The sequence below is a fragment of the Homo sapiens genome, chromosome 9 (genome assembly GCF_000001405.40).
Source record: "Homo sapiens chromosome 9, GRCh38.p14 Primary Assembly".
Lineage (NCBI taxonomy): Eukaryota > Metazoa > Chordata > Mammalia > Primates > Hominidae > Homo > Homo sapiens.
The window spans coordinates 89653025-89677379 of NC_000009.12; the positions used below are offsets into that span (position 1 = coordinate 89653025).

General features: G+C 51.2%; 1 long non-coding RNA gene across 1 annotated transcript in view, besides 7 other annotated features; it reads left to right on the top strand.

Moving 5' to 3' along the window:
- The window catches only part of LINC03062 (long intergenic non-protein coding RNA 3062), a 79977-nt gene that overhangs the window by 13242 nt on the left and 42380 nt on the right, over positions 1-24355 (top strand). Inside the window, exons 2-3 of the long non-coding RNA NR_024280.1 lie at positions 11904-12358; positions 19733-20463. This is a non-coding gene — a long non-coding RNA (long intergenic non-protein coding RNA 3062). The remainder of the gene's footprint in view (positions 1-11903; positions 12359-19732; positions 20464-24355) is intronic.
- Positions 1964-2495: an enhancer, noted in NCBI's record as "H3K4me1 hESC enhancer chr9:92269903-92270434 (GRCh37/hg19 assembly coordinates)". NCBI's record gives its function as "activates a minimal SCP1, AML or CMV promoter by ChIP-STARR-seq in naive H9 embryonic stem cells {active_cell/tissue: H9 hESC(naive)}" and the evidence as "EXISTENCE:reporter gene assay evidence [ECO:0000049][PMID:30033119]".
- Positions 8749-9285: an enhancer, noted in NCBI's record as "H3K27ac-H3K4me1 hESC enhancer chr9:92276688-92277224 (GRCh37/hg19 assembly coordinates)". NCBI's record gives its function as "activates a minimal SCP1, AML or CMV promoter by ChIP-STARR-seq in naive and primed H9 embryonic stem cells {active_cell/tissue: H9 hESC(naive and primed)}" and the evidence as "EXISTENCE:reporter gene assay evidence [ECO:0000049][PMID:30033119]".
- Positions 8970-9264: an enhancer, noted in NCBI's record as "tiled region #1075; HepG2 Activating DNase unmatched - State 4:PromP, and K562 Activating non-DNase unmatched - State 22:ReprW". NCBI's record gives its function as "activates a minimal TATA promoter and a strong SV40 promoter by Sharpr-MPRA in HepG2 and K562 cells {active_cell/tissue: HepG2 | K562}" and the evidence as "EXISTENCE:reporter gene assay evidence [ECO:0000049][PMID:27701403]".
- Positions 9286-9823: an enhancer, noted in NCBI's record as "H3K4me1 hESC enhancer chr9:92277225-92277762 (GRCh37/hg19 assembly coordinates)". NCBI's record gives its function as "activates a minimal SCP1, AML or CMV promoter by ChIP-STARR-seq in naive and primed H9 embryonic stem cells {active_cell/tissue: H9 hESC(naive and primed)}" and the evidence as "EXISTENCE:reporter gene assay evidence [ECO:0000049][PMID:30033119]".
- Positions 9824-10360: an enhancer, noted in NCBI's record as "H3K4me1 hESC enhancer chr9:92277763-92278299 (GRCh37/hg19 assembly coordinates)". NCBI's record gives its function as "activates a minimal SCP1, AML or CMV promoter by ChIP-STARR-seq in naive H9 embryonic stem cells {active_cell/tissue: H9 hESC(naive)}" and the evidence as "EXISTENCE:reporter gene assay evidence [ECO:0000049][PMID:30033119]".
- Positions 22676-23326: an enhancer, noted in NCBI's record as "H3K27ac-H3K4me1 hESC enhancer chr9:92290615-92291265 (GRCh37/hg19 assembly coordinates)". NCBI's record gives its function as "activates a minimal SCP1, AML or CMV promoter by ChIP-STARR-seq in naive H9 embryonic stem cells {active_cell/tissue: H9 hESC(naive)}" and the evidence as "EXISTENCE:reporter gene assay evidence [ECO:0000049][PMID:30033119]".
- Positions 23327-23976: an enhancer, noted in NCBI's record as "H3K27ac-H3K4me1 hESC enhancer chr9:92291266-92291915 (GRCh37/hg19 assembly coordinates)". NCBI's record gives its function as "activates a minimal SCP1, AML or CMV promoter by ChIP-STARR-seq in naive H9 embryonic stem cells {active_cell/tissue: H9 hESC(naive)}" and the evidence as "EXISTENCE:reporter gene assay evidence [ECO:0000049][PMID:30033119]".

Below are 24355 nucleotides of genomic sequence, written 5' to 3' on the forward strand. Positions count from 1 at the left end.
ATTCCTAATCTGAAAATCCAAAATCCAGAATGCTCCAATGAGCATTTCCTTTGAGCAGTATGTCAGCACTCAAAAAGTTTTGGATTTTGGAGCACTTTGGATTTTTAGATTTAGGATGCTCAATCAGTATTTGGCTTCTCATGTGATAAATTATGGACTTCCTCCATGTTAACACATAGAGATTTTTTTTTCCACTGATTTTTTCAGTTCCATTATATTCCTTAGAATGGGTCCTCTTTTATTAACTTCATGCCTTTTTGGTGGCTATTTACGTTGTTTGAACTTTTTTTTTGCTTATACAAACAGTGCTGCAATGAAATATATATAAATATATAGAGAAATCAGTAGAAATATATACATATATATTTACATCACTAGCAATATGTTTGTAGAATAGATTCTTAGAAGCAGAATTGCTAAGTATGTATTTTAAATGTTCTATGGTTGTTGCCAAGCTATTCTCCAACAACATTGTATGAATGTATACTTCCACCAACAGAGTACTGGAATGCCTCTTTCCTCATGCCTTCTCCAATACTGGATGTTAGCAATATTTTGAAAGTATTGAGGATGGGTCAAAAATAGTACAGTAGTTCAAAGTTGCTTTAAATTTAATCCTCATGGCTGGGCGCGGTGGCTCATGCCTGTAATCCCAGCATTTTGGGAGGCCGAGGCGGGCAGATCATAAGGTCAGGAGATCAAGACCATCCTGGCTAACATGGTGAAACCCCGTCTCTACCAAAAGTACAAAAAAAAAAATTAGCCGGGCATGGTGGTGGGCACCTGTAGTCCCAGCTACTTGGGAGGCTGAGGCAGGAGAATGGCGTGAACCTGGGAGGTGGAGCTTGCAGTGAGCTGAGATCGTGCCACTGCACTCCAGCCTGGGCAACACAGTGAGACTCCGTCTCAAAAAAAAAAAAAAATTAATCCTCATACATTTAACCCAACTTAATTCAACCCAAATTAATGCTAACTCTTACAATAGACAGACTCCATGATCGAATGAGCTAACACGATCAGGTTGTATTTTCCTCCTTACTCTGTGTTCTCCTTCCTAAAGCCTTGCCTTTGGACTCCGGGTGGCTGCAGCAGGGAAGGGAGGGGCACAGGAGACAATGTGCTCCGGCTGCCTCAGCTCTGCAGGGGTTCTCGTCACCTGATGTCCTGTCTCCTTGCCCAGAATGGTGGGCCTGTCCCCTGCCAGGGAGGTTGGGAAACTCTTGCTGTCACCAAAGTTTGTCTTTGTTTTCTAGTTTTGCAAAGTTTGGCAATGTTTGACAAAGTTTTGCTTTGCCAATGTTTTTACTGGTTTGTCTCTGTTTTTTTTTTTTTTTTTTTTTTTTTTTTTACTAATTTGTAAAGGCTTTTGACGTATTATGGACCATAACCCTTAGTTTTGTCATGGAGGGCTTAAATGTTTCCTCCCACTTTGTTGTTTGTTTTAAAACTCTGTGTTCTCTTTGACCCTACACACATGTTTTGGCTTTATGTGTTTCCAGGTAGCAATATTCTGAGAGCTTCTGGATTTTCACGTTCTGCTTAGGGGGGTTGTCCTGTGCCAAGGTTATGACATCTCCTTCCACATGTTTCTATTAAGTTGATAGTTTTTAAAGCGTATTGATATATTTAACCCAACTGTCATCTGTTTTCGTGTACATTGTGAGAGTGTGGGGTTTTCAGGGCAGCTCTTTTCACCCTGCTGAATCCCCTGTCACTGGGTCACTGCTGGCCTCTGAGGAACCGGATCCCAGGGTCGTGTTTCCTGCTCCCCTTGCCTTGCCCTGCATGGCTGCTGGCTGTGATGCCCACTCCTTTCTTGCAGCTCCTTCCTGGGCTTCAACAGAGGCCCTCGACCCTGATTTCCATCCTTCTGCTGCAACTGCTCTTTCCAAGATCCTCCTTGGCCCCCTCCTGCCACATTACCCTTCTTCCAGCCTAGCTGGGGAGCGCTCCCCGAGAGCCCTGGAGCTGGCTTCATGCCTCTATCTCCTGCCAGCCACTGTGGTCTGTATGCCACTGGCTAGCCCCCTGCGGGTGCCCGCAAACCTTCCCTTTCTGGACACCTGCCTCTTTCTCGTCCCCTCACCGACAGACCCTAGGCACTTCTGGCTTCCCCTCCCATCACAACAGGTCCCCCCCACTCTGGCCGTATGGCTGACCCAGCCGATCCCTCCTCCCAGCCTAGATCTTGTTTGCAGTGACCTTCCAGCTTCCTCCTACTCAAGGACTCCTGCTCCAGACCACAGAGCTGCCCACGCTTCCCGCAGCCCGACACCTCATAGCTCCATGGCTTTGCAGGGGCCATGTCTTCTGTGTAGAACTCTTCCTCCAGCTCCCTGTCTGGCAAATTCCTGTTTCCTTGACAGCCCAGTTTAATCTACACCCTCTGCAATATCCCCTGACCTGCCAAGTGACTGGGCCTTCCTCCCTGCTGCCTCACAATCCGGCAGAGCCTGCACATGCTGAGATTGGCCTGGGACTCTGGTGTGCCAGCTCACTGTCAATTGTCAATGAGGCCTTGAGCTCCTGGAGGCCAGAGCCCCAGTCCTCCTGCCCTTGGCTGCCAGTGCCTGGTGCCTCACAGTGGTGGGGCCTTGATGAGAATAAACCTGTGAAACAGATGGTCTTGGAAGGCGAGGAGGGCAGGGGCTGTCCCTGTATAGGTCAGGTGGGCCTTGGCAGCATAAGTAAGTAGCCAGCCACCCCAGGCATTGCTGTGGGAGCTCAGGCCTGCACTGCCCTGTCTGTCCATTCAGCTGCAGCATCACAACAAGGAGGGTCCACGGCTGGAAGCCTGCCCAGCTTGCTCGAAACTTCTTTTTAAAAGCACGCATTTTGTTCTTCAAATTCCAAAGCCTCACCCAACCCTGCAAAAACGACGACTCCTAGAACTACCATGCTGTGCACAAGGCCCCCGACACCCCTCAGAGGGAGTGATGACTGCAAAGACATCTTGGGACTGTGATCTCCTGCGGGGTCAGGCGGACTCTGCCTGTGCGGGCACACACACCGCTGGATGCTTTTCCCTAAGCCCCCGGAGTGAAAGCGATGCTGCACCTCCACTGCCTTCCGCAAGCGGTTTCACTTTCCAGGCCCTGAGTGTGGAGTCATCCAGAGGGCTGGCTGCTGGGTCGAAGCACATTCTCTGACCTGGCTGGAGCTCAGGTCCGGTCACAGGCTGGGTCACCTTGGCCTTTTGTCCTCTCAGCATGGAGTGACTGAGGAGGACCAGCTGTTTTTCAGCCTCAGAGGCTGGCTAGCAGTGGGGTGCAAGCCCTGTCCCTGATATGGAGACTTTAGCTGTCCCTTCTCTGTCAGTCCATGTACGTGACATGCAGTCCTCTCCCCACCGGACTTCCTATAAACCTGGGTTGGCAAAGCATCAACATGTAAGTCGCCACCACTTCCTTCCTCTTGGGCAGCCACCACGAACTCACCTGACAGGCTGTGTCTGAACACAGCCTCAGAATCCTTCTCAACACTGGAGGAGAACCACCGTGTGAAATGAGCACTGCAGACCGTGTGCACTGCTGGGGCAGTGATGAGACACCTCTGAAGGTGCCTGTTGTAGCTCGAGGGGAAACCCTGACCATGTCCACAGTGATCATCACGGATGGTTGGCAATGGGGTCAGGGGCACCGTGGGGCTTCTAGTTTAACTCTCTTCTTTGGAGGATGACATGGTTTGGATCCGTCTCACCACCCAAATCCCATGTCGCACTGTAATCCCCAGTATTGAAGGTGGGACCTGGTAGGAGGCGATTGGATCACGCGAGTGCTTCTTGTGGTAGTGCTTCTTGGTGCTGCTCTTGTGACAGTGAGCGCTCACGAGATCTGGTTGTTTAAAACCGTGTAAGCCCTGCCCCCACCCTTTCTTCCTCCTGCTCGCTCGCCCCTTGCCTTCCGCGATGACCGAAAGCTTCCTGAGGCCTCCCCATGCTTCCTGTGCAGCCCGTGGAACCATGAACCAATTCAACCTCCTCTCTTTATCAATTACCTAGTCTTGGGTGTTTCTTTATAGCCGTGTGAGAATGAACTAATACAGAGGACGAGAACACAGAAGCACAGAGAAGGTGAGTGATGCCCCATCTGTGTCCAGCATAGCATTCCAAGGCACGCCTTGTGGGCCACTGGGCCCTGTGGAGTGGTGGGGAGCACATGCGCTGCTTGAGGACACCGCATTCTGAGGCTCCCTCTTAGGGATTGTGTATGTGGTTGATGTTACAGGTTCTAACAAGCATGGCTGTGAGGAGCTGGTTTTGCTCACAGCACATAGCGCACTATGCATGTGATCATGTGCATTCCCCATGTGGTCCTCCAGTCTCCGGGGAGAAGCCCACACTGGTGATGCTGTGCCTGCTTCCACCTGAAAACACTGAGGCTGGCTCAGGTGTCCACAGTTGGCGATGCAAGCAGGAGCAGGGCCAGCTGTTCTCTTTATTTCCATCAGAACCAGAGTGGTAGAGTATCAGTCACTGACTCCATTGCCCGTGGGGCTGACAAAGCATTTCTGCTGTCAGAATCTCACATTCTTGGGACCAAGCTGAGCGAGATCAGGTTTCCAGGCATCCACATGCAGTTCCTATAATGAAGACAGAGGATCTCTTTGAGTGGAAAGCAGTTTTCCATCACCAGCATCCCAGAAACAGTACCTGGGATCTATTAAAGCCTCAGTAGGTATTCATTGAAATTTTAAAAACTCAGTTAAATGCCGGTCTTTGCTAATAATGCCTCTTTGCCCAAGCACATTAGCCCGAGCATGAGTCCTGCATGTATTGAGGTGTGTGTGAAAGTACATTTGCACACCAATATGTTACTACTGTCAAAACCAGGTAGCATTGTTTTGACAAGGTTGCATGCACCAGGATGCAGCACAGAGAGCCCATGCCCATGCTGTGTCACCGCTGTGACAGCTTAGTGCTGCTGGAGATGTGGAATGAGCTCATAGAGGGGACTGAAAGTGAAACAGAGACTCAGGTCCTGGTGATGTTGCTGCATACACACCACCCCCATGTAGACATTGAGAACAACCATCGTTTTATTGTATCACCTAATTGTGTGGGTCAGGAATTTGAACAGTTGTTCTCTTCCCTGCGGAGCTGATGGAGGTTACTTGTGATACCACATCTGGCATGTGGGTTGTTTGGGGAAGTCCAAGACAGATTCATCCCCATGCTGGGGCCTTTATGGGGGTAGCCAAGAGGCTGAACTTGGCAGGGGCCATTGACCAGAGCACTCACACGTGTCTCCATCTTGACTGTCTTGGGGTCTGTGGACTTTCTCCCAGAGGGAGAAGGTTGCAAGAGAGGAGGTGGAAGCTGCCAGGTTTCTGAGTGAGCCTCCGATGTGTGTCTCTCCTGGTATGTCCCCTGGAAAAGTGAATGGAGCTAGCCCAGATTCATGGGACTGGGAACTGACTCCACTTCCCTGTGGGAGCAGGAGCAGAGGCTTTGCAGCTACCCTTCATCTGTACAGACTGACGGGCCCTGTGATGAATGCAGTGTGCCGTGGAGAAGGGAGAACCAGCCCTCCCCGCTGAGGAGGCTCTGCTGAGCCTGCGTGCTTGCTTCTCTGCCAGTCCTCTCCTCATTGCTCCGTGGCCTCTCTGCCAACTCCATGCCCCTTAAGGCTGGCCCTTAGCAACAGCATCTGCCTCTCCCTTGCTTCTCACCCCTGCCCCTCATGCCATGCCTGCTGCACTGCCCTTGTGGACACATCCCTTCATGAGTCCCTCTTCTGTTAACCCTGTGCCTGTGCCATCTGTTTTCAACATGGGCCTGACCCTGATGGCACATTCAAAAAAAAATCATATCTTTACAATAAAAATGACAAAAATTATATGATCAATTAGTAATAAAATGACACATGCTAAAAAGTAACTTGGAAGATTTTCCTTCTTCAGAATGTCTAAGGGGTTATCAAGGCCCTTTTGGAATTGACAATTATGCAGAAGTGTTTGCTCCATCTTATAGACACCAGGCACAAGATTACTCCTGATCTCCAGCGGGAGACCACACATCTGCCCTGCTGCCCAGGTAGCGTGAGGCACTCTGCTCGGCTTGTCTCCTCGGTGCATTGGGCACACCTTGGGAGGTGTGGCAGAGTGTGGCCGATGGGTGTGTTGGGCACTTTCCATCCACCTTGGGAGGCATGCCATGGGGTGTGGCTGGCAGGCAGTAGCTTCTGCACCAGACACTCCACATGTGAGACGTGCTACCCACCTCACTTAAGATGCCTGCTATCTGCAGAAAGAGATTCCACTGGGCAGCCCCCAGAAGAGTAGACTCCAGCATACTGTTGATGGTTAATAAATGCCAGCTCCCCTCTGTGGTCCTGTTGCTTCAGGAGGATGGGTGAGAGGGTCCAGGCTCACGGGGCTTGCCCTCATATTTTCTTGAAGAAAAACAGACAATTCTGAGTCCTATGTTGGGTGTGGGTGGTGAGGGTGGTAAGGCTGAGTGCACGCCGTGTTTCGGGAGGGTTCGAGGTGCCCAGGTTCCATCATGCCTGTATTCAGAGGGCGGCACTGATGATTCTGATTTGATTCTCATCGCAGCCTGCCAGCAGGGTCATGTGGCTTTGAGCACCTGAAGTGTACAGTGAGGAAATGGAGACAGGGGTGTTACCTCTTGTGCCCAGAGCCCTTGGCTGGCCCAGGGGAGATGAGTCTGGTCTGGATCTCCAGTGAGTCCCGGGCCAGGTTGTGCCCACTGAGCTCCTCACTGAGACCCTGATGGACGCGGAGATGTGGGATGGGGGAGGCAGGCTGGGGAGTGTCCTGGAATGTGGGGAAACCCAGGGGTTGGAAGATGAACCAAGAAGGAAGGAATGAGCATTCTTTCTTGCAGCTCCTCCTGCTCCTCATGTCTGCAGATGCCCCTCCAGGTTTCTGCTTCTGCTCTGACCTTTACACCAGGACATTCACATGAACCCATCCCTGCCCCCCTCCCCTCACTGCAGCCGGCCATGCAAGGTGAAGGGCTGACTTGGACCTCCTTAGTCTGCAATCCTGAAGTGAGGTGCAGGGGGCAGGGGAGGCAAGCCCTGGGGCCAGTGGGTCTAATTCAGAGGCATCATGGTGAAGGAAGGGGAAGCTAAGAAGCAGGAGAAGTGGCTTTGTAGTGAGAACAGATGCAGAACAACTCCCTTCTAGGGGAAGCTCAGGCTTCCTTCTTGGAAGTGAATAAATTGCTTGTATTGACTGTTTCTACCTGAGGGCACCTTCTCTGACAGTGCCCTGACCCAAGGCTGCATGGCCCAGGAGCCAGTGGACCTGGCTGGTCTTGCTGCCTCCATCTGTGTCATCCCTGTAAGTGTCTCTTCTCTTCAGGCCATGACATTGAAAGGCTTTGGTTCCTCTTCTTAGCAGTTTCTACTTCTCCAAATATCTGACAAATAAAGGGCCATTGCTCACCCTGGAGGCCGCTCACCCTGGAGGCCGCTGTCCCCTTGACATCACATCCCCAGGCAGCTCCATGTAGAACTCCACTGTGAAAATGCAGCAGAGAGGCTTTGGCCTCATGCTATGTCATTCCCCTAACACTGGAAAAGACATCTGAGGCCACATGAGGCTGGTGAGCAACGGGTCTGTCTGCCCCGACCGGGCAACTCTGGCTTGCCACCCACATAGGACTGGCCACTTCCTGAGAACAGGAGCTCCTCACGGCCATATTCAGGGCTGCTGTCTCTCCCTGTGCTAAAAGACTGGGTCTCCGTTATGCCCCTAGGCCTCCTTGAGGTCCTTCTGGCCAAATGCAGAGTCCTGTTGGCATTGGTGCCATCAGTTAACCATCTCTGCCTCTTTCAAATCCTCTGCGCTCCTCAGCAGGGTGGGGGTGGGGATTGTGGGGTGCGGTCTCTTTCCTTCCTTTGTCCTTTAGGCCCTCCATGCTCTTGAGGTGCTGGGCACAGGGAGGAGAAAACTGGGTGACCTCCAGAGGGAGAAGGGAGCCCGTGAGTGCCATGTCGGGATGGGAGAAGCCAAGCCTCAAGGACAAGAAGCTGAAGGTGCAATTACTAGAATGCTTTGTATACTTGATCCTCTTGTACCAAGACACATGTGGCCCCCAGACTCATTCATGTATTTGATAGACAACTCTGTCATATGTCCACCAGGGGTTTAGAAAAACCCTGTTGCTTATTCTTGAATGGAATCATCCAAAAATGATGGGATATCACTTAGGAAGCATCATGTCTCAGCAAAGCCTTGTGCTCTCTAGAAGGACAATTTTGGGTGCATTAGAGCTCTTTCTGCATTGTTTTCTTAAAGCTTTCTGTAGTGTTTAGTGATGATATTTGGGAATCAAAGTACATAGTTAATTTGAATTTGCAATAAGAAAAACTTCTAAGAGGTAATACTTTTCTCCTTTAGCAAGAGAGGCCATGCTCTGCCCATGCACCGGGGGAGGGGCAGAAAGAAGGAAGCTGAGGAGCCTGCAGGAGACTGGCTGATTTCTCACCAGCTGAGCCCTCTGGACAGCTTTGTCCAGGGCTTCATGGCTGTGGAGAACAGATCCTGCATGCCTTTTGTCTTCTGTGAGCATCTGCCACTCTGGTATGGCCACCAAATGCTCTTCTCCCTGGTGCATGCCAGGGAGCTTTGCGCACAGCATTCCACAGATAGCATGGACTAGGGAACACACCCCAGGTGGACATGTGACAGGCAGAAGACTTGTGCAGCGTGCTGTTCAGGGCGAGTGTGCAAAGACAGGCCACCTCTTGGGGAGACGGCCCATAGCGCGGAAAGAAGTCATCTTCCTTTCCGGCCATTCTCTTTTTCTCTACACACGAGCCCTGCAATAGGACTCAGTGGCTGCCGCCTTCAGTCTGGGCTGGGCCACTCCTGCTCTCGAGGGTGGAACACTGAGATCTAAGGGCCTCTCCCTGTCATGATCCCTGTTTATCCTTCGTTGTGCTCAACACGATGTTTGTCATTACTAAAGCGCTCTTAAAATTGCATCTGCACGTCTGAATAGCCTGCTAATGCAGAGCTGCCCTTTGCATTCAACACAGGAACCTGCTTCTGCCTGGCTCTAGGACAACACTTCTTGCTGGGCTCCTGCCAAGTGCGGCTGGGCTGGGCCTGGAGCGACCAATCCACTGATCCACCAATCCGGAGGGCAGCCCAGGAGGAGCGGGATCTTAGTGGATGGACGCCCTGCCTGTCTGTGGAATGGCTTCTTCCTGGGGCAACCCCGAGAACAAGAGGGAAAACAGCCTCTCCCCCTCGCCTCCTGCCCTCCTGCAGGCAGCCACCTCCTCAGCTAATTGAAAACAAAAAGGGACGCAGTTGTGAAATTCAGCCCCCAGCGCCATCATCATCTCCTGCGGGCTCAGGGGGCTCCTCACTGTGTTTATTTACAAATCAGCACATGTTGTTTTGGCCACGGCAGCAGACAGTGACCCCAGAGAGGGAGGTCCAGAGCACTACACAAATTGCACAACACAAGCAGGTCATCTGTCCCCTTTGCTGAAGATTCCTAAGAAAACAGAGGCAGCTGACTCTCAGGCCATCTGGAAGCCACCCTCAGGGGCCGAGCGCTCGGGGGCGTGTACGCCAGCCTTGGGGGTGCTATCCGGACACCAACAATGTCACTGCTGCTGCCAGCCTCAGTTTCTCCATCTGTGAAGGGCGCATGGTTGTGGTGGTGGGGCGGGGGGTGGTGGTCAGCATGCAGTGATTAGCAGCCACCTGGGGTACTCTACCGGGCAGGCGTCTGTGCTGTGTCCTATAGTTTCAGCCGCACGTTCTCTCATTTTACAGATGGTAGAGCAGCTGGGTGGCTGCCGATTCTCGCCCTGCCCATGGCTGCCCTGGCCTGTGGCCGAGGCTGTGATGAAGGGCAGCCTGTTCTGTGCGACGCAGTTAAGCAAGGTGTCCGGTGGGCTGCATTGTGACCGGGTCAGCCAGGCCCTCCTCTTTGTCTTGCTTCTGCTGGCAGAGCTCACAGCGCAGTTTCTGCATGGAGGCTGCCGGAGTTGCTTCCTGCTCCGTGCTCCCACACCGTTCTTCAGCTGACCAAGTAGTGACAGCAGGACTCCAGGGTTCTGTCCCTGTGCGGCAAAGCACACACTTTCAGTGCTGCGGTTGATGCTTGAGACGCTCAGTGGGAGGTCATTGCTTGGACTAGGACTACAAGTCCAAGCACAAACGTCCCCCTGAGGTGTCACCTGGGGTGTTAGGAGTGGGGGATGGGAAGAGGAACAATACTGGGATGGGGTTCTTGAGGAGACTTTCGAAAGGATCTAAGAGGAACTGACCTCTCCACCTCCCCCAGACTGTGCACAAAGAAAATGGGCCCAAGAATCCCCAGAACTGGGCTCCGAAATCCTCACTGTCTCCTTGCTGGTCACCAGCAATTGCTGTGACTCACTCTCCTGGTGCTTCTGTGGGCCATCTGGGCACCTTGGGGAAGTCCCAGGGATCCCCAACAGCACTCCTTTCTCCCTGTATGTTCTATCCCACTGCCTTCCCAGGCGGGCCTGGAGGGAAGAGCAGTGGCCAGGTGTCTTCAGGGTCCTGCAGGGCTGATGGGAGTGGTTTCTGTGGGTACTGTGGCTCTCCTGTGTGGGTTTCCTGCCCTGGGCTCTGTGTGTGGGCCTTGATGGGCACTGGGCTGTTCTTCTACCTTGTGGCACCTGGCCCTGTAGAGATGACAATTTCTGAAACAGGAGCATTTCCTCTGAATTCCAAGGAACTTTGCTCAAGGGCCAACTTTGCCTTATGCAGGCTGGAGCCTGAATGCTCGCTCTGCTACCAGCTGTGTGACCTTGTGAAAAGTCCTTAACTTCTCTGGGCCTTACTTTCTCATCGGGATAATATTACAAAAGGCTGCTTGAGAAATGGGATGCTTTCAGAGATAACATAGAATGAAAGCACCGGGCACAGTAAAATTCAACTGCTATTAGTTCCTTTCTCCCTTATTCAAGAAGGAAGGCAGATGAAAGCAGATTTCAGGAATGGCAGCTTGGAGAAGAGGAGAGGGAGTGGGGGTCTAGAAGAGGAGAGGCAGTAGGGGCTATGATAATCCTCTGACATTGGCTGAGAGCCAGCAGTAAGAAAGAGAAACAAGCTGTCCTTCATGTACCCACTGGCTTCTTCCTTGCACCCTCGGGTGCCGAGCTGAGCTGCAGACACCCAGACCTGACAGCCCTTCCTCCAGAGCTGGCGGTCCAGGTGGGGAGTGACATTTGGCTGATTTCTGATTTTGAAACACAGAAACCAGGAGAGTTGAGTTAAACCAGGTTTACCAATGTGAGTGGCTTATTGGCTATAGGTGCCCCAGCCAGGTATGGAAGTCCAGAGCTGGAGGGTGTGTGAGCTCCCTGAATGCAGGGCCAGCCCTGGCAGGCGAGCACACAGCTAATGGTAATGGATGGCATAGGAATACGGAGCCAAGGTTTCTGGCAAGAAAACAATGAAAAATGCACTATCTCTGAATTTTTCTCTGGGACTCAGTTGAATTTTAGTGGTCATGACCAGAAATGAAATTCAACCAGTTGACTGATATTTTTAGAAATGCCTCAGGCTTTATCATCTCAACTCTGGGGAGTGAGTATCCCAGAAATCTTGGGAGTGTGGGTCACAGCACCTGAATGTTAGTCCTTTACACCTGTAACATCAGAATTATGGATTCCTGGGTTCCCCTTGCAGAGATTCTAGTTGGGTTGGAGCCTGGGAATCTGTATAAAAATACCTCCCCAGATTTGGAACCACTACCATAGACAATTAAGCAAAGAATGAGGTAAGGCATTCTTTTCTCCAAAATGTAATTTTCTGGGGCCCTGCTAGAGATGTGTCACCTTTCTAGGCCTCTTCTCTGGTGGGAGCTCAGATCCTCCTGAGAAGGGCACGAATGAGAGAGACTCTGACCTTTCCCTCTGTCCTTTGCTCTAAAAACACAGCCCCGTTTAACCGGACAGAGGATGACTTTCTTCTCTGGAGTGCTCTGGGTCACGCTTGGGGACACATGAAGGATACGCCCTCCCTTTCAGGCTCCCATCGCACGTTGAACCTGGCTTGTGAACACAGCCCTCTGGGACACTACTAGGAACAAAGTGTTCCGGATGCTGCAGAAGCTCAGCTGCCACCTGGAAAACCTGTTTGGCCACTTTAGGTCCAGATGACGGGAGCCAGTCCGGCTCAGGAGAACAGAGCTGGCCCAGTAACACCTCGCTTCCTCCCTGCTGCAGAGACCTGGGAGGGCCCTGCCCAGCACAGCACACTGGAGTGGCCCTGCGGCAGCATCTGGGCTGCTGTACCCATGGTGCCTCCCAGCCCGAGGGGCTCCCGGCAGCTCTGGAGACTCCTGCTGTCACGTCACCTGGCCCCTCACCATCACCATCCTCATCTCTCTTGGGTGGGTATGTCCGCACCATTCCTAGCCTCATTTATTTATTTATTTATTTTTGAGACAGGGTCTTGCTCTGTCACCCAGGCTGGAGTGCAGTGGCACCATCTCGGCTTACTGCAACCTCCGCCTCCAGGGGCTCAAGTGATCCTTCCACCTTAGCCTCCTGAGTAGCTGGGACCACAGGTGCACACCACCATGAGCAGCTAATTGCATTTTTGGTAGAGATGGGGTTTCTCCATGTTGCCCATGGCTGGTCTCGAACACCTGAGCTCAAGTGATCTGCCTCCCTTAGCCTCCCAAAGTGCTGGGATTACAGGCGTGCACCACTGCACCTGGCCTCATTTAAAGACTGAGAAAACCAGATCCCAAGAAATTTGCTCACTATTGAGGATAGCTGTCAGCAGACACCAGATTTGGGCATCGAGTTAGCAAGCTCTGGCCGTGTGCTTGAGTACTAGCCCAAAAAACATCCCCAGAGTCATTTGTAGAATGAGTTCTTCTTACTTACCCTTATTAAAAGACTTAAATGTGCATCAATAGTTCCCACAAAAGCCTAGTGTTACTGTTTTAAATACTGAGTTCGTGAGCCAGTCAAAGATTGGGGCTTTCGCTGGTTCATTAGCTTGTTTCATGTTTGGAAGGAGACCCACGTTTATGTCCAGAATGTGATATTCTGTCTATGTGCTGATCTTAGTTTGGAAGTGGTTTGAATAAAGCCAGAAATGCCAGCATATTTAGTTATGAATCCTGGTTTGCAAAGGTGCTGACTTTGGTTGTCCACAAGATCATTGGCCCCATAGCTTTACCTAACCGTCTTACACAACTGTGGTCTTCTCTGTGGGACTTAGAGGAACATCTGAAGAGAGGAGCAAGAGTGGGTTGGTTGATTACCGACAGGGCAGGGGCACAGTATCCCATTTGCATACTCATATTCTGGAAGTCAAGGGGCCTCTAGAACAAAGATGTTCAGTACTAAGCAAAGTGGGCGAGAAATGAGGAAAAAAGGTGCAATGTGCAGGGAGCAGGGCTGGGGCCACTGGCGGGAGAGGAGGCCTCCTGCTTCAGAACCCGGTCATCCAAGTGCAACTCTTTAGAATCCAAAACACGTGGATGCAGGGTTGATGGGTAATTTACAGGTTTCGGCCAACATGTGAGGGACTCTCCAGTGCTTTTGAGCTGGCCTGGGGCCCACGCTGCTGGCTGTGGGAGGCTGGCGTGTCAGAGGCAGAGCTAACCAGTTGCCTGCTTGGATCCCCAGGCACTCAGAACAGGGCTGACCTTTTTTTGTGCATGGCCTGGGTTTTGTGCTTCTGCACAGGTTTGGCCACACAGTCCAGGGGCTGACAAAGGGGACCCGGAGGGGCCACCAAAGACTCTATGCCTGTGCTGAGGATGGAGTTTAGGAATCATGGCTGGGCATGGGCGGTGGCAAAGGGCTGGCCCCCACTTACCCTCACTGCAGGGCTGGGTTCTGTTGCCTGCGTCAGCGCTCACCGTGGGAGTGGGTCTCAAAGGGGCATGCTGGAAATTTGTGGGGGCATTTTTTGGTGGAAACAGTTACCATAGGGACTACTGGCTTTGTGGTCCAGGGCTGAGGACGCTCAAGGTTCTGCGAAGCAGAGAAAGCCCCACACAGACAGACGGCACTGTGGCTAGTGTCACTCCCTTGGCTTCTCATTTGGGTGGCAGATCTGTGTCTGGGGATCTGGTCTGGTCCCATGCCTGTGTTCTGTCAATACCACCCACTTCTCTCATGGCTGTGATAGACACTGGATTTCCCAACACTGCAGCTATGGCATAGACTAAGGGAGGATCCAGACTTTGCTTTGCTCCAAGCTTTGCCAAGCTTTGTTCCTAATTTCAGAAAACAGCCCTAGCGAATGCTGGAATTACCAAAGCAAGGTCCACTGTCTGGCGGAATCCTCAGAAATTTTACCTTAATTTTACCTGAATGCACGCATCTGAGGACTTGATTTGTCATCTAGGGTAGTTGTGCCTAAACATTTACTATCAGAATAGATGTTATTGTGTATTATATCTATGTCAGTTTTCTTTGTATTACCATTAAAGCATTACATATATGATCTATCTATTTATCTATCATCTATCTGTTATACCATCTATCATCTATCTAATCTATCTATATCATCTTTATTTCTCTATCATCTATCTATCCATCTGTAACATCATCTATCTATCACTTATAGACACATTATATTAACCAGAAGTTTCATTTCAGGACAGTACAGCGAATGTTAAAATTATTCATGATCAAAGGGGCTGTTTGATTCTAGCATTCATATACAAGTTGCTGATGGAATGGCCCTAGAGCCCAGCCTCCCTCCACAGAGCCCCTGCCTTTGGAAAGATGGTCTGACTGAGGCTCGCCATGCCCTTGCTGCTTTGCTCTGCAGGGGCTGGGCCGGATCCCCCAGAGCAGCGAGCCCTGGCTGTGTCTCTCCCCCTGTCAAACTTGCCTGGCGGTTTGTTGCTGAGTCTGTCGTGGCTGAGGCACCTGCTCCCTTCAGAGCATCACACCCAGCCAGTTCCCGGAGGTGGCTGAGTGTTTGCTTTCAGGACATTCAGTAGTACTGGGAAATGTGTGTTGACACAGGAGATAAGAAGGTCAGATGGGAAGAGAGGAAGGAGGGCTGCCACTGCCCAGCAGGCAGCCAGGAGGCCTGTGGATCCCAAGATTGGGATCGATTCCTCGGGTTCATCTCAATATTGTGGGAGGAAAACATAAAGGAGCCCAGAGCCACTTGTTGAGGGCCCTGGAAACTGTCCATATGAAATAGGCACCAACACTCATCTGTGAACTCTTTGAATATGACAAGGGTAAATTCCCAATTTCCCTTTTCCAGGTATAGAACGCTTAAATGCATTTTCCTGAAGCCCTTCTGCCTCCATCTACTAGGATGCCCTCCCACCTTCTCACAGAGGCTGCATGGCTGTCACCTTTCCATGTGGCAGCTGAGTTGGGTGTGGGGATCCCCGTTTGAGAGGCAAAGCTTTTGATGTGCACCAGGGAGCGGACTGATCTGAAGTAGTCGTTTGACTTTGGCAACTGCTTCAGTTTCCTCATGGCAGGTGTGCAGTGGGTCATGTTTCTTTGTTGATTCTGAATTTAGCTTTGAGAAGAATTCTAGAAGAGGTGATCCAAAGCTATCTGGAATAAAATCCTGGAAAGAAGTGGACAGCTCTCCCCAGACAACATGATTTTGGTTGTGCAAGTTCTGGTGGTTTTGTGGGGAGACACCAGGCTTAGGGTCACACCATGTGCACATTCTGTATTATTCTGAGTTGGAAACCATGAGTGCATGCTGCAGCTGGTTGCTATGGAGTCCCGTGGACTGTTGTACTGAGAAAAACTCGGATAGGGAGGGTGCATGTGTGCACGTGTGCCTAAATGCAGTGTGTATGTGTGCCCACATGTGTATGTGTGTTGTGAGCATGTGTGTACAACTGTGTGTTTGTGTTGCATGGGTGCGCATGCCTGTGCATGTGCCTGGGGAGGGTCATCAGAGGGGTAGGAAGAGGACAGACAGGCCCCTGGAAGCCCTTTGCAGCAGGCAGTGAGCAGGCAGGATTCACAGGACCTAGCCTGCCTCTGAGAGGCATTTGGAGGCCTCCCTCTGGGTCTTCTAGGAGCTTCGGTAAGCTGTGGACACATCTATTCCAGTTTGAGAGAGATGGGAGCAGATGAGACTTGATGTGTTCCTGTGTGTGTTTGCAACTCCTTGCATCATCCAGTGACAAGCAGACCCCTGCAATGGTGGCTGAGCAGTGGGGCCTCAGGGAGACCCCACCCTTCCTTGAGGATGGTGTTGTGCCCACTTTCTGTGCCCATGGACCTTCACCTGCACCCCTTTGGAGCCAAACGGCATTTGGGCCTGGGAATTTTTTGGATTATAGTGTGGATACCACATACCCTACACCACCCCTTGAGGTGTGGGGAGCACCCTGTAAGCAAATGGGTTAGTGTTTCGTAGCGAAACCAAATCAGGTAAATAAAGACTCACAGGCATTCAGGTCAAGCTTGGCCTCCAAATGAGTTATGGAACAATGGTCAGTTCTCAAAGTTTATTGGGTTTTGAGTGACTGCTTAGCAATTGCTGACCTGCAAAAGTCAACAAACTCAGTTGACTGAACAAACCAAGTTGACTGAACAAACCCAGTTGACCCAAAAGTCAGGCCCCTTCTTGGTCACAGGGCTTGGCTCTGCTTGCAGATAGGCCCTGTGCCATCAAGCAGGGGCTGGGTAGGGGACCTAAAGGCCAGCACCAGAGGTGGATGCTACTGGAAAGAGACCTGGGGTGGGAGGGATCTGAGGATGAGCTGCTTGGCCCAGGTCCAGCCTCTGCTGAGGTGAATCATTCCTTGGATAGTCTGCAGCCCCCAGGAAGGTTGGGTGGGGGCAACAGCCAGGATGGCCAAGGGATTGATCAGAGACAAGTGGCTCTGGGCCGGGCGCAGTGGCTCACGCATGTAATCCCAGCACTTTGGGAGGCCGAGGTGGGCGGATCACAAGGTCAGGAGTTTGAGACCAGCCTGGCCAACATGGTGAAACCCCCGTCTCTACTAAAAAAATACAAAAATTAGCCAGGCATGGTGGCATGCGCCTGTAATCCCAGGTACTCAGAAGGCTGAGGCAGGAGAATTGCTTGAACCTGGGAGGAGGAGGTTGCAGTGAGCGAAGATCATGCCATTGCACTCCAGCCTGGGCGACAGAGCAAGACTCTGTCTCAAAAACAAAAAAAAAAGGTGGCTCTGGTGTGGGCACCAAGTACGTAAGAGTTCATCTGGTTGGCCCAGTAAGTGCTCTGGGATAAGAAAGGGGTGGCTCCTTTGTCCCTTGTCACGCTGCCCTTTGCCCCAGTGGACCCAGCAGAGGCTGGACCTGGGCCAAGCAGCCCATGCTCAGGGTCAGGGGCAAAGGGGGAAGACAAGAAGGGGAGCTTCCCTGCATAGCGCCCTGGCAGGTAAGGAGGCCACAGATGTGAGGGTTCTGTGAGTCCTGTCACTAGGAACACTGGCGCCAGCTGTCCTGCATCCTGAGTGTGTGGGGCTGTGGGGATCCATCGTCCCACCTACAGTCCTGAGGGGAGCCTCCAGGTTTAGGGCTGTTCAAGGCCCTCCTAAATCTCAGATTGGGTTTCCTATCTACCCGGAAGAAAGAGCGCTAGATTTAGCTTTAAATCAAATTAAACAGGAATAACAAAATGTGATGTGTTTGGCCTAAGATTTATACTCCTTATGTCCACCACCTTAGCCCTTCTGGAGAGACAGAGGCACCTAGGCTCAGACATGTGGAGGGTAGATGGTCACAGGCAGGAGCCCCTGGCCAGAGTAGCCTCTAGAGATGCTCCTCATCATCCCTTCTGGGATTTGTTTTTTCCTAGTTGGAGATTAAAAAAAAAACAAACTTGAAAAATAATTCTGAAATGAACTATACACACAAAAGAGTATCTGTAACTTACATATACATAGAAAATAGCAATAATAAACGAAGACACACCCAGATTAGCAGTTTGAACGTTACCCAGACCTCTAAATGGTCCCATAACATTCTTCTTCTTTTTCCCACTTTCATTGCAATAACCACTGGCCCGGATTATGTGTTAATCATTACCTTGTCTTGTTTAAAGTTTTACTGTAAATGTGTGAGTTGTCAAGCAATAGATAGCTAAATTTTATCTGTTTTTGAACATTTGTAAATAAAGTTATACAGTATAAATTTGGTGACTTGCTTTTTTTCTGCTCATGAGATGCATGCATGATGAGGCATATACCTGTTGGTCAATCATTTCACAGTGCTCCCTTGCAGGAATTATTCGCCTGGTTTCGGGCTTTTGCTACTGCAAACAATGCCCATCTGACTATTCCCTTAAGGGCACAGGTCCCTAAGCGTGATGGCTGTGATTCAAATTCTGCCTCCCAGCACCTGCCTGTGTGGCCTTCTGGGGTCCAGGGTCATCCTTTTTAAAATGAAGATAATAATACTACATGCACCAGCAGGCTCTAAGGAGGACTAAGAGAGTGAATTCAGGTAAAGCATTTAACATGGTACCTCACACAGGATCAGTTTAAAGGTTAGATATAATGATAGTAATGGTGGTAGTCATGATAGTGGTGATGGTGGTGGTGGTGATGATGGTGGAGACGGTGGTGATGGTGGTGGTGATGGTGGTGGTGGTGGTGGCGGTGATGGAGATGGTGGTGATGATGGTGATGGTGGTGATGATGGTGGTGGTGGTGATGGAGATGGTGGTGATGATGGTGATGGTGGTGATGGTGGTGGTGGTGGTGATGGAGATGGTGGTGATGATGGTGATGGTGGTGGTGATGGTGGTTATGGTGGTGATGGTGGTGGTGATGGAGATGGTGGTGGTGATGGTGGTGGTGGTGGTGATGTTGATGACAACTCCTTGGGTACTTATTTGGAAACAGAGTCTTTGCAGACACAGTCAAGTTAAAATGAGATCATGAGGGTGCACCCTAATCCTAAATGACTGGTTCAGGTGTCCTTATAAAAAAGACAATTTTGAGACACAGGCACACAGGAAGAATTTCATTCGAACATGCAGGCAGAGATCTATAAGCTAAGGAACACTAATGATGGCCAGCAAACCACCAGACGCTTAGAAAGAGGCCTGGGTCTCAGCCTCAGAAACCAGCCCTGCCGATGCCTTGATCTCAGACTTCTGGCTTCCGGAATAAACTTCCCCTGTATAAGCCACTCAGTCTGTGAAAGTTTGTTATGGCAGCCCTAGCAAATGGACACAAAAAGCACAGAAAGAGAATTCCTCTCAAATGGAAATGTTCCTACCATTGTCAAGAGATTGATTTTTAAAAATATCATTTTATGTGGGCCTGGGTGCGGTGGCTCACACCTGTAATCCCAGAACTTAAGGAGGCCAAGGCGGGCAGATCACAAGGTCAGGAGATCAAGACCATCCTGGCCAACATGGTGAAACCCCATCTCTACTAAAATACAAAAAAATTAGCCGGGTGTGGTGGTGCGCACCTGTAGTCCCAGCTACTTGGGAAGCTGAGGCAGGGGAATTGCCTGAACTCGCGAGGTGGAGCTTGCAGTGAGCCGAGATGGCACCACTGCACTCCAGCCTGGTGACAGAGCAAGACTCTGTCTCAAAAAAATATATATTTTATGTGCTATTACATTTTTCTTAAAAGATTTATACTACTTTGACACTCAGTGTTATAAAAGGGAAATCCAGAAGAAAACACTTTAGGTAGAATTTGATGATGGCCAGTGTGGGCAGAGTCCATATAATTCTGTCTGCGGCACGCAGTGGCTCTTGAAGACGCCATAATACAGATGCTGCACAAAGGCCACTACTTCCTGTTGCTTTACTGTAGGAATTAAGACATTGAAGGAACTGCTGCTGCCAGCAAGAGAGGCTGTTGCAAGAAAGAAAGGCTGCTGCAAGAAACGCAAGAAAGGCTGCTGCCAGCATTGCATTTCTGTCAAGAAGCTGCCCCGCAAAATTTATGGATGTATCGCTGTATGCACCTAATAGCAAGCTCTACTGGATGAATGGCTTATAAAGATCTCCCCTGAATAAAATTGTGGTTTTTAACTTTAGAAGAACAATGTCAATTCTCTCTGCATCCTTTATGGGAGCCTCAGCATGTGTTCAGCACTGGTATTTATTCTATATGACTGCTTGTTAAGCAACAGGCTGAATTAAAATGGGAAAGCTCACCGAGGAGTTTTCTTGAAATACTGCTTTTCTAGCAAGGAGAACATAGAAGATGGTGAGGCAGCCGCAGCTGGAGTGCTGACTGCCCAGAAGCAGAGGGGCAAAATGCACTCCAGTATGGATTTTGGTCATTGAGGCCTTGCTGAGAGCATGCCCCAGGCTGGGTTCACTTTTGCCTGAAGGGGCTGCAGCAGAATGAAAACTCAACTGTGCAAAACAAAACACTCAAATTTTAAAAAGCACAAGATTCTGCTGGGATCATCTGGCAGCAGGGGCAGCAGGAAAGACGTAATAGAGATTTCAAAGCAGGCTGAGGAGGAGGACAGGGCATTCCAGCCTCTGTGGTTCAGCAATCTCACCACTCCACAACCGACGGTGGCTTTCCAGGTATGCAGATTTGAAGGGTGCCCTTCCATGGAGGGTGATCGAGGTCTGCTAATGCCATTGCTCTGTGGGTGTCATAGTGAGTGCAAGTGCCTTGGCCAGTGTGCACATCCCAAGTGTGATTAACTGAATGTTCCTGTCCCCAGTATGTACATACTCCTGGTTCCTCCAGTGTGAACAGCCCCACAGTGTGCACATTCCCTTAGTGTGCACATGCCTCCAGTGTAAACATCCCTCCAGTGTGCACATCCCCATAGTGAGCACATTCCTCCTGGTGTATACATCCCCCCAGTGTGAACATCCCCCCAGTGTACACATTCCCCCAGTGTACACATCCCCCCGGTGTGCACATCCCCCCAGTGTGTACATCCCCGCAGTGTACACATTTCCCCAGTGTGTACACATCCCCCCAGTGCACACATCCCCCCAGTATACACATCCCCCCAGTGCACAAATCCCCCCAGTGCACACATCCCCCCAGTGTACACATCCCCCCAGTGTACACATCCCCCCAGTGTACACATCCCCTCAGTGCACATCCCCCCAGTGCACACATCCCCCCAGTGTGCACATCCCCCCAGTGTGTACCTCCCCCAGTGTGCACATTCCCCCAGTGTGCACATCCCCCCAGTGTATACATCCTCCCAGTGCACACATCCCCCCAGTGTGTACATCCCCCCAGTGTACACATCCCCCCAGTGTGTACATCCCCCCAGTGCACACATCCCCCCAGTGTATACATCTACCCAGTGTGCACATCCCCTCTGTGTGCACACCTTCCTAGTGTGCACATCCCCCCAGTGCACACATCCCCCCAGTGTATACATCTACCCAGTGTGCACATCCCCTCTGTGTGCACACCTTCCTAGTGTGCACATCCCTCCAGTGTGCATGACCCCCAGTATGCACACCCCAAGTGTACAGATGCCCCCAGGATACACGTTCCCTCAGTGTGCACACCCTGCAGTGTACACATTCTCTTAGTATACACATTCTTCCAGTGTGCATGTCCTTCTAGTATGCATGCCCCCAAGTGTACACATGCCTCCAGTGTACACATTAGCCCAGTGTTCATGCCCCCAGTCTGCACATCTCCTAGTGCACATCCCCTAGTATGCACATCTCCTCAATGTACACACGCCTAGAGTGCATGCCTAGTGTACACACGCCTAGTGTGCATATCCTCCTAGTGTGCCCTTTCTTAGCATTTACACCCCAGTGTGTACATCCAGTACACATGGTGCGCACAGCCCCCAGTGAGCAATCCTTCCCCCAGTGTGCAATCCTTCCCCCAGTGTGCACATGCTCCAGTGTCAACAGCCCCTGGCCAGCCTTGTCCAAGGCATCTCTGCAGGCTCAGCCTATGTAGGCACATGAGGACAATGCAGCAGAGTCAGAAGCTGCCTGTGCTGAGATGATGATAAGGACACGATGCGGAGCACATGGCCCCCGCTCTCAAGCACCTTCTAGTCCCTGGGGTCAGAGTGCTTAGAATGGGGAAGGCTGCTGGACAGGGCTGAGGGGGTCTTAGCTGAGTGAAGATGCTCCATCAGTGAGGGCTCCTGTGGGGACTGAGAAGGCAGCGCTCCCCTCACTCTGGGTCAGCTGATCTGGTGAGTTCATTGCACAGGGCTTCGGGGACAGGGCGGTGTTGTTCATGCTGCTGATGGGAGGAGTCCTGGGCTTGCAGCGCCTGCCTTCCCCGCCCAGCAGGCAGCTCGGAGTTCTGCCCAGCAACCAGGCCCCCTCCATCTGCCGTCTGGGATAATGAGCTGACCCTGAGGCTGCTGGCACAAGCCCACTTTGTGTCTTCTATTCACTGGGATTACCTTTCAGCTTCCCATTGTTCTTTGCTAATGGCCTTAAAACATGCCTGCCTGTTACCTTCCCTAGCCCTGCTGGCTGCTGGAGGAAAGCCTCATCTCCTCCAACTTGAAAGGCCTCCTCCACTCCATCCTGGCCTGGGCGGGTGGTAGGAATGCCAGCCTGGGCACAGGGATGTAAGCCGGCCACCCAGCCTTCAGCTGCAGCCATTAGCCAGGCCTCAAGTGTCACAATATTTTATGGGACGCCTCTCCCCGCCCTTGGTGAACTGGCCGGGTTGCCACATGGCCCAGCTTCTGTGCTTTCCAAGCCCTGCCTCCACTGAGAGCGTGGCTGTCCCCGTGTCTGGACAGATGGCTGAGGTGGGCTGGAGACTGCTGGCCTCTGGCCCTGGCAGGAGCTCATTCACTGTGATTATCCAGTCGTCACCCTGCAAGGGCAGAGGGGACAGGGCAGCAGTGGCTGCATTGACTTTTAACCCTTTCCAGAGTGAAGGGCTGGATCCTTGGGGGAAAGAATTCATCCAAATTGGACGAGCCCTTCACACTCGGCCTCATTATTATCCACGCGTGCAGCAAAATGGGGGAGCCAAATGTCTCCAGTTATTTACACTGCATCTGGCAAAAAGATAATTCGCTTCTTTTGGAGGCATTTGAAAGCTCAACCGTAGTGGGCTTTCACCTAATGCAACCATCAGCATTAAGATGAAGCAGCATATGACAGCGTTATTAAAACATGGCCACTCATTTCCTTTTTGCTTAGCTTTAGAGATGATGAAAACATACAGTGATTCCTTGTTTGAAAAGGAAATGTCAAAGAACAGATGCTATCAGGGTCTGATTTATAAAAGTGTGGGCTTTTATAAAGTGTCCAGGTCTCCTGGGCAGCATCTTTAGGGGACTACTGGACACAGCTCAGGGGGCTGACCCCCTGGCCACTGCCAAGCTACAACCTTCTCAAGGCCCTGAGTCACAGAAGACAGTCTGCGGGTGGCAGTGTCTGTCGCCCGTGTGTGCACATGTGTGCCTGCTCCTGTACAGGGCCCCGGCACGCGTCTCAGACGGGCTGCCGGCTTTGTTGTTGGAGGCGCAGGCTTCTCCAGATTGGCTGGTCTTCAAAGCAATGACATGCCGTGTCAGATCTGCCATAGTCCAGGCACGTGGCAGGCGTCCAGCATGCAAATGAGTCGGACGCTTTGCACTGGCCTGGAGCGCCCTAGACAGCCGCCCCACACCCCTGGGAGGCCCAGCAGGTGCCCGCGAGGCAGGTGTGCAGCTCGCCATATGCTCTGCTGAGCGTCGGGTTTCTGCCAGCATCTTTCAATGACCTACCAGGTGAGATAAAGTGAGTGGAAAGGGGCCCGTGCCAACCTGTGGCTGCACAGGCCACTTCTGGGTAGGGACAGCCCTGAAACCTGGGCAGGGCAGGCAGAGGAGGGACAAATGTCAGGGTGGATAATTGCTTTAAAAATCCCCTGCATTTTAGAAACAGGGAAGGTTTATGGCTAAATTAGATATATACCTTCCAAATGCACTGTCTGTCTCTGCAGAGCCCAGATTTGGAGCTGGAAGCCTAAGATAGGGCCCCAACTTTTCTCCCCGTCATGGCCACCTGGGGAGCCTTAAAAATCCCCATGCTCAGGCTGCTATCAGAGCAGTTAAATCAGACACTCTGGAAGTAGAACCCAGGCATCTGAATTTTTTGTTTCTCATGTGATTCAAAGTTTGAAAACCCATCATTTAGAGCTGTGCTGTCTAATGCAATAGCCACCAGCCAGATGTGGCTATCTTAATTTAAATGTATTAGCATTTTTAAAAGTTAGTCTGTTACATGTGCAAGCTACATTTCAAGTGCTCAGTGGTTGTGCTGAACAGTGCAGACCCTGTTCAGAGAACCTTCTCATTATTGCAGAAAGTTCCATGGAGCAGTGTGCTGTGGAGGGTCCTTTCAGCCCCTTGTCCTCCCTCCCTGAGAAGGTGACCTGCCTTGCTCCGGGGCACATTGGCAGTGCAGGGCAGTACTGTGCTATTCTATTCTCATGCCCTAATGCCTTAGGCTGCTGGGGGCACAG